The 8,737-nt window shown below is 38.1% G+C and overlaps 2 protein-coding genes across 7 annotated transcripts in view; both read right to left on the bottom strand.

Annotated features, from left to right (window-relative positions):
• The window catches only part of RLN2 (relaxin 2), a 39,463-nt gene extending 32,711 nt beyond the window's left edge, over positions 1–6,752 (bottom strand). For both annotated transcript variants that reach the window (XM_047423707.1, XM_047423709.1), the window contains exon 1: positions 6,688–6,752. The gene's annotated coding sequence lies outside the window, so the exon portion shown is untranslated. The remainder of the gene's footprint in view (positions 1–6,687) is intronic.
• RLN1 (relaxin 1) lies at positions 2,356–8,342 on the bottom strand. 5 transcript variants are annotated; one of them, XM_047423703.1, is made up of 3 exons: positions 6,962–7,302; positions 6,688–6,788; positions 2,356–3,023 (listed from the first exon to the last, which is right to left on the bottom strand). In XM_047423703.1, the coding sequence occupies exons 1-3, from the start codon at positions 7,170–7,172 to the stop codon at positions 2,982–2,984; spliced, it is 354 nt and encodes a 117-aa protein (XP_047279659.1). In that variant the 5' UTR covers positions 7,173–7,302; the 3' UTR covers positions 2,356–2,981. The 5 variants fall into 5 exon arrangements, with proteins under 5 accessions (XP_047279659.1, XP_047279662.1, NP_008842.1 ...); XM_047423706.1 differs by lacking the exons at positions 6,688–6,788; positions 6,962–7,302 and adding an exon at positions 8,247–8,342; NM_006911.4 differs by lacking the exon at positions 6,688–6,788.
• Between the last annotated feature and the right edge of the window lie 395 nt (positions 8,343–8,737).

The raw sequence follows: 8,737 nt of genomic DNA on the forward strand, positions 1-8,737 counted from the left end.
ACTTGATGCTTTGTTATGGAGCAAGTTGAGGGGTCACTGAATGTGCTTTTTTTTTTTTTTAATGTGATACAGTGTTTCACTCTTGATGCCTAAGCTGCAGTGCAATGGCGCAATCTCAGCTTACTGCAACTCCCGGGTTCAAGCGATTCTCCTGCCTCAGCCTCCCGAGTAGCTGGGATTACAGGCGCACACCACCACTCCTGGCTAATTTTCTGTATTTTTAGTAGAAACGGGGTTTCACCATGTTAGCCAGGATGGTCTCGAACTCCTGACCTCAGGTGATCCACCTGCCTCGGCCTCCCAAAGTACTGGGATTTCAGGCATGAGCCACCGCGCCCGGCCATGATTCTCATTCTTAATGTTGTACACTTTCAAGTGATTCATACATCACAGTAAGGATAAAGGCAATGATAATATTCTTCTACTAAAACACAAGAAAACAAGATCACAGTATTAACCAGAAGCTTAAAATTTAATCTCATTCTATGTTCTCTATTGAGTAAACTTCTATCCTGGAAGCAAATATTTTAGTGATGCGTATGAAGGGGAGGACTACAAAACAAAATGGTGGACTTCTTATTAATGGTCACAGATAAATCAACCCATGAGAAAATGCGCTCATGCACTTTTCTTCACATAAGATGACAGAAGGAAATACCATTTCTCTGGCCTCTGCCTGTTCATAGGTTCCGCCTCATCCTACAACACTGATAAAGAAGAAAAAGGAGAAGATTCAAATAAACACAATCCAAATGATAAGGGGGATACTACCACTGAACCCACAGAAATACAAACAACCATCAGAGAACACTACAAACACCTCTATGCAAATAAACTGGAAAATCTAGAAGAAATGGGTACATTCCTGGACACATACACCCTCTCAAGACTGAACCAGGAAGAAGCTGAATCCCTGAATAGACAATGAGTTCTGAAATTGAGGCAGTAATGAACAGCCTACTAACCAAAAACAGCCCAGGTCCTGATGGATTTACAGCTGAATTCTACCAGAAGTACAAAGAAGAGCTGGTACCATTTCTTCTGAAATGATTCGAAACAACTGAAAAGGAGGGACCTCTCCCTAACTCATTCTATGAGGACAGCATCATCCTGATACCAAAACCTGGCAGACATACAACAAAAAAAAGAAAACTTCAGGCCAATATCCCTGATGAACATCGATGCAAAAATCCTCAATAAACACTGGCAAGCAAAATCCAGCAGCACATCAAAAAGCTTATCCACCCCAATCAAGACGGCTTTATCCCCAGGATGCAAGGTTGGTACAACATACACAAATCAATAAATGTGATTCATCGCATAAACAGAACTAAAGACAAAAACCATATGATTATCTTAACAGATGCACAAAACACCTTTGATAAAATTCAACATCGCTTCATGTTAAAAACTCTCAATAAACTAAGTATTGAAGGAACACACTTCAAAATAATAAGAGCCATTTATGACAAACCCACAGCCAATAGCATACTGAATGGGCAAAAGCTGGAAGCATTCCCCTTGAAAACCAGCACAAGACAAGGATGCCCTCTCTCACCAGTCCTGTTCAACATAGTGTTGGAAGTTCTAGCCAGGTCAGTCAGGCAAGAGAAAGAAATAAAGGGTATTCGAATAGGAAGAAAGGTCAAATTGTGTTTGTTTGCAGATGACATGGTCCTATTTCTAGAAAACCCAATTGACTCAGCCCAAAAGCTTCTTAAGTTGAGAAGCAACTTCAGCAAAATCTCAGAATACAAAATCAAATTTACAGACATTTGATGGAGGAGATTAACTTGTCATTCAACTGTATTTCTTCTATAAATGCTGGGTAAAATGCATGTGTATATACATAGATGGAACCAGTAAAATAGCAAGTTGATAGCTATGTCAATTTACTTTTCTAACAAGTGTTCATACTATTTCAGTAATTTTGCTTACAGAAATAGTAAATTCTAAAGAAGTGAACATAAGGTATGTTCCCTCATTATACTATTTCTTCTGTAATATATGATATGGATGTTTGTTCTCTCCTCCATTATGTCTATACGTTTTTCTCCTTAAAAAGTAACTTAAGTTTTATGGACACTAGAACTGAGATCAGAACCAGAGCCTGAAAAGTACTTGAGTTCCCTTCAGACTCTGCTAGGAAAAAAAGAAATTAAAAAGGAAAAAAAATACTTGAGTTTACTTCAACTAAATTAAATTGGTTTAGTGTCCAAACTGATGGTTTGCAATGAGTAGTTCAATATGCAACAAAAACCTTTTGAAATCTATTAGGAAAGTTCAAGTTGTATGGCTTTATGTATATCCAATCTAAGAGTTAATATCAATAAAAACATTTTGGTCCACCTCATGTAACTGTTGTTAGGTACTGTATTGTTATTATGTATGGTTAAAGTGGCAAAGGTTTTATTGTAATTTTAAGTTAACAGCATTAAAAAGAATCAACACAATTATACTGTTAATAAAAAGACAAAAAGACTTCAGCATAGAAAGTGTCATTTACAGAAACTACAATCATACAAAGAATATTTTCTTACACACCAAATGAAAAATCTAAACATTAATAAAGATTTCTTATATTCTAATAATTAGTGGGACCTGACAGAAGCATCAGTGAAATGTCATCAAGACTATGTGTGAAAATTAGACAAGATGTGCACAATTAGCTTCATCTCAGCAATATTTAGCAAGAGACCTTTTGGTACAACCAATTAGGCAACATTTCTCAAACAGTGCCACGTAGGGTCGTCTCTTTTTTTGAGAATGAGTATCCAAGCCTAAGTATTTTAATTCTGAAGGATTGCTGTCTGCGGCTTCACTTTGCCTATTGCGAATAAGTTTCTTAAATTCTTCAAAGCTAAGATTGGAATCCTTTAATGCAGGTACATACTGCTGTAGCTCTGGTAATGATGGTTGCCTCTCAGATAGGGCTGCCTTCAGCTCCGGTGGCAAATTAGCAATGAATTCCAACATGATAATTATAGTTTCTGTATCTTTGTTGATGAAGGATGGTACAATTTCTGTTAAGTTTAAAAAAAAAGTGTATGTGAAGGCGTATTCACGTCAAAGAGCATTCAGAAAAACTGTGAATGTTTGCATACACAAAGAAAAGAAAGCATTGCCTCAATATAAATTAAACATTGAAACACAAAAGCATCCTAATATCTAAACACTTAGCTTTCTTACAGTTGGACACCTTAAAGTACCATAATTTTACCAAGGCTCTGCTTTACCCCATTGGTCCTCTCTCGTCTCTCTTCATTATCCCCTCAGTGCTTTTATCATAGTACTTTTGACTCTCCCTGACATTACTCTGTCATCTTTCTGAAGTCATGTAAGTCATTGGAAACAGTTTGGCCACACATAGTGGTCATTTTCTTGGATTCTTCTTACTTAACTCGTTTTCTTCCATTGCTAAGCTATGATTTCTGATATTACGAGTTGTAGTAACAACGCTTGAAAAAGATATTATTTTAAGCTACTCAATGTTTCGTGGTGGGAATTTACTCCTGGAGGATAAAGTTAAAGAGGCAGCATTTCCAACACCTGTAATCTAATCAGCAGGAGAAGGAAATCTCTGATGTTCCTCAATCATCTATTTAACAATTTGTCTTCCCCAGACTAATTACTCCAAATCAATAGTATTTTATATGAAAGAGAGAAGTGGGTTAAAAGATCACTAACCAAAAATCACTGATTTAAGAAGAGATTCATATGTGCTGTGGTGTAAGTGTACTGACTAATGTTTTCTGTCTGATGTTTGTTCCAAGGCTGCAGATCATGCACTATGCAAGATCTGTGTGATTCCTAGGAAGGGCCTGTTCTTACACAGCATCCCAGGCTGGCCAAATGTGAAGGCTGGGACTTGGGCTGGGAACCTGCTGGACACCCAGCTGACATCTTACTCCATCTTTGTACCCATTCAGCTCCGTTGAACATTCATTACCTGTTTTTGTGTCTCTGGCACTGCCAGTTAAAAGATATAAATTTTTAAAAATGTTTCTTGCTGTCAAAAAACTTACAGTGAGCTAAACTCTCTCCTAACCTTAATTATCCTAATTATACAATTTAAGAGTTTTATTTCACAAAGAAATAAACACTGACAATGTTTAAATTATAGTGTAAACTCAGATCAGGTCTTGCTGCTCTTCTTCTTGGACAGGAAAACTATCCAATACCAAGGCATTACTCTTGAAATAATGAAAAGAAAGAGAAGAGAGGAGTAAATCTAAGTGCGGGAGGCAGACACCTGGTTAACCACTGATGCCTGCTGATCAGAGGAAACCACGACCCTTCACCTAGACAGCGGTAGTTCTGGGGCTGATCATTTCCTGAGTTTTGTGGCAAAAGAATCAGTTGTTCTCCTTTTACCAACAACAAACTTCAACAGTTGGAGTTTGACAGAGCAATAAAAAACAAAACAAAACAAAACAAAACAAAAAACCTGTAGTATTTTGTCTTTGCCCCTAACACTCTCGCTCATCCACATTCTAAACTGGAAATGACAGATGAGAATTTATATCATTTTTGGTTAAATGACAGGTTTTGGCATTTTCCCTCATTAAGACATCCTAAGTTTAATTCAATTTCCTCATAAAAACGTCTCTGTGCTCCAACCTAAACTGTCTGTAGTTGCAGTCTTATTAAATGCTGAAAAAAGCTGATGGTAATTTTCTGTATACTTAAAGCCAGTTAAATGAATCAGCCAAAACAGTTATAGATTGTATTCAGTTTATTCATAGGCTGTGTGTTTTGAACTTTTATTAAAATTATATTTTTAAACCTGTTTTGAAATATTTCATAATCCATAACACTTTTAGCTATGGAACCTAGGCTCAGAGAAAATATTCTGTCTGAATTCATGCAAATACCCTTAATTCACTGTATTTTGGATGCAAATCTTACTGAAATAGATCTCTGGTTTAAAGCGGATCTTATTTTTAAAAGGGATGCAGTGAATATTACTTTGGCACACATTGTAAGATAAAATGGTTATCTAACAGTGTAATAACGTGAAAGCAAGTAGCAATTACCTAACAGTATAAGTCTGAAAACTCATATTAATCACAAATTACTGACATGTACTTCCAAAGCGATTCCTACCTAGTAACGGTAAACATTTATCTTAATCCCACGTGCAGGCAATATTTTCTGAGGTTACTTTCAGTTAAATTATACTGCATAGCAATAAAGAAAATTCTTTAAAAATACTTTGAAATCTCATGTCTCTTCTAAAGAAATAAAAGTGTAGCTAAATATCTATATACAAATGTGATTAATGATTTTCAGCAACAATTTAGAAATAAACTAAATATCCACCAAAGAATCTTTAAGTTTATGTGGCAGATTTATGACAAAAATACTACACAGGAATTTCAAATTATGTTTTGGGATAATAACAATGTGAGAAACTGCTCAAAGTATAATGGTGAGTGAAAATGCAAAAGATATATACATATACCTATCCAAATGTTAACATTTCTTTCCACTTACTTGTTTAATATAATTTCATTTTCTCATAAAATTCACATATACTTTTCAAAGTCCTTAATATCTACGAGTGCTTCTCATTTTTCACGCTGCATTAATGTACATTTGTCTTTAATATGAGCATTACTACTTTTATAGTCAGAAAATGTGGAATAATAAAGCAAATGCAATGCAATCCGGTCTTCTCTACTTTTTATCACTAAATTCCTAGACGTTGTGGTATTTTTGTACTAATGTTATACAAAAGTCATGTAAAAACTGCCATTAAATAAATCAAACTCTAACAATGTAGAAAAGTAAATAACTTTAGAAGCATACTTTAAATCTCATAAAAGAGAAGTAAATGTATTTCTGTTAGAGTCATTTATATATAGTATATGCATATAGCCTATAAAATTTAGTTGCGGTTTATCATAAATTACATGTCATACTAATACAAAACACTTAGTATTTGCAACTGCGGTTACTTTCTCTGAATTTAATATGACCCGTTACACTTCTTAGACTAGTATATACCTCCATGAGTTTCCACTGCTACTTTATAAATACTAAAATATTTTTAAAAGCCATTTCAGATTGAGCTGTACTCAACTCTAAGAGCTTGCCTTTAAAGCAAACCCACTGCAGCTTCCAAATGCTTGAAAGCATCAGTAGGGTCTTCAGCTATGATGGTCTGAACGGCCTGCTTTCCTTGTCTCTGGTCCTCTTGAGTTTCTCCTAAAGGCATTCAAGCCTTTCCTTTCTCTTCCATCCCCTGCCTCACAAATGAACTTCAATACCCAGATCAAAGAAGCGGGAGGTCAGACTCTTTCCTTTGGGATTTTCTGTTTGTTTATTTTAAAGAACGTTTCCAATGGCAAAGGCCACAGCCCAACTTCTGGACTAGGAGAGTCATTAAGTGTAAGGCCCTTCCTGTCTTCCCATCACGGGACCCTCACAGAGACCTCAGAGTGTTGCCCCGTCCTACAGGCGCGCAAACAGGCTTGATAACTAGCGCGCCGCCTCAGTGTTTGTCCCCTCTCCTCTCTATCCGAGAAGCCCTGTTCAGGTGCCCCCACCAGCACGCCCGCTGTCTGGCCGCCTGGCTTTCCTGTGGGGTGCAGGAGTGCGCCCGGCCTCCTGCGGGTCTCCGGGCGGCGTCACCTCCTCTGAGGCTTCCCCTCCCTTTCCACCCCGTCGCTCTGACTGCCTTACGGAAAGGGCACCAAGGAACTCTCGGGTGAAGCAGCTTCCTGTTCTCAGTGCTTTCCCTCCGTCCGGTGAGATTCCCAGTGAGACTGTTTGAATAAAATCACCTGGCAAAGGAAAAGCCCAAACTTTAGGGACCAGCCACGGCTGAGTAGGGGCTGAGCGGTGGCAGCCAATGAGATCTCGAGTCGGACGTGCAGGCCGCCGTTCCAATTGGGCGGCCGCCCCAGAGTAACCAATGGGAAGCGCGGGAAGGCCGGGAGGGGGCGGGAGCTCTCACCTGCCACTGGTCTAGGTGTCTGAGGAGCATCTTCCTGGCTCAGAGACCTTTTGCTCCAGGTGCTCATGCCGCAAATGGCAATCTGCGCGCGAACTAATTCGCGGCCGCATAATTTAATAACATCGTCCTTCCATTTGGCCGCGACTGCTCTGGAAAATTGGTTCAGTAGTAAACAGAATTCTAGCAGGTGGAACAAGAACAGGCGAGGCATCCTGGGCCTGGTCTCTCCTGGAGGTCTGGGTGTTGCAGCCTTTCAGGACTGCGGCTGCTGTGGCCTACACACCTGGGCCTGTGTGCCTGTCCCGGGCTTTAGGCTGCTTTCCCTACCCGGCTCAACCAGTCTTTAGTATGGGCTATCACTCAGCTTTTAAGGCAAGGTTGCCAGCTCCACCCCTTTCCCACACCCCTCCACAGAATTTTCTCCTTCAGCTCTTGTTCTGCCTCTCCGCCCTTCCTTCATTTGCCCATTCCTCTGTCCTTGGCCCTTTTACAGTTTTGTTTTTCGCTCTTTTGTTACCCTGAAACAACTTTGTATACTTAGGTAAAGTTATTTTAGATATGAAGCCTTTCTTTTTACATACACAGAAATAAAATTGAGATCGCCAATATTCTTACAACCCAGTTTTCCAGAGTGAACATTTGCCAAAAACCCTTCTAACCTAAATAGGATTATAGATTACCTTATAAATTGGATTAATTAGTATAATGTTGGGCATATCAATCCATAAAAATATAATGGATGAATGAATAAATTGTTGATGAGAGGGAAAACTGATGACTTTTAATCTGAATCCAGGTAAAAAGATTAAAATCCCCAGTAACATCATTTTAGGCTTGTGCAGTAATGTCTTTAATTTACAAAACAATTTCTCCATTGGACTTTCCTTCCACTCCTGTGGGAGAAGTTTGATTGTAACTAGTTGTCTAAATATTTTAATTTAAAATTCTAGTCTATGTCTCTGGAGACTGGAGAACACACCACACACACAGAGAGAGAGAAAGAGAGAGAGAAAAGAAGAAGAGAAAGAAGAAGGGGAAAAAAAGCAGTGGACATCCCACATTCCCAGAAATAATATTTTGATAACAAATTACAGCACAAGGATATGTTCATTTGTTTACTGTATTTTGTGTTTGCTGCACCTGGTTAGAGGTGATTCTTTTTTTATTACCACCACCTAATTTAGCATTTTAAAGATCCACACAGTTCTAGATAATATGGTTAGTAGACGACCCTTCTACCTGTAAATTTTTAGTACAAATAGGTTCATTTTTAAAAATAACTTACTTGCTTGTGTTCATAATATACTCAGATTAGTTCAGCTCCATCAGATAAACTGGAGACATGCAGGACGTTATGGTAGCTTTGAAATAAAATAATAACAATCTCTTAGTTACAAACATAACTATGGAATCAAGTAATTCTAATTTCTAGATTGCTGGTGATTTCAGTAGGCCCACTTAACATTGGTCAAATGCCAAGCAATGTGTAATTCTTCAAAAAATACCTGACCAAAGCTATGAGATGGTTAGAGGCAATTAATGATTTTAAATGGATTTTCACTAAAACACACAGTTTGAGAAAGGCCTCTCAAAACTGAGGTTTGAAAATATTTTCGTGGGTTAACAGTCCTTGTAAAAACAATCCACGTGCTAGGCTGTACTCCAAATTAATTGCTCATTAAAAATGTAAATTTCCAGAGTTTTTTGTTTGTTTTTGGGTGATTTTTTTGAGACAGAATTTGGCTCTTGTCACCCAGGCTGGAGTGCAATGGTGCA

This window comes from Homo sapiens, chromosome 9 (genome assembly GCF_000001405.40).
Source record: "Homo sapiens chromosome 9, GRCh38.p14 Primary Assembly".
Lineage (NCBI taxonomy): Eukaryota > Metazoa > Chordata > Mammalia > Primates > Hominidae > Homo > Homo sapiens.

Excerpts from the sequence above, each read along its gene's own strand:
- RLN1 (NM_006911.4), bottom strand. The coding sequence starts at position 7,172 with ATGCCTCGCCTGTTCTTGTTCCACCTGCTAGAATTCTGTTTACTACTG. Across the intron at positions 3,024-6,961 it reads GACACCTAGACCAGTGGCAG|AAATTGTACCATCCTTCATC; the intron begins GTGAGAGCTCCC and ends TAAACTTAACAG.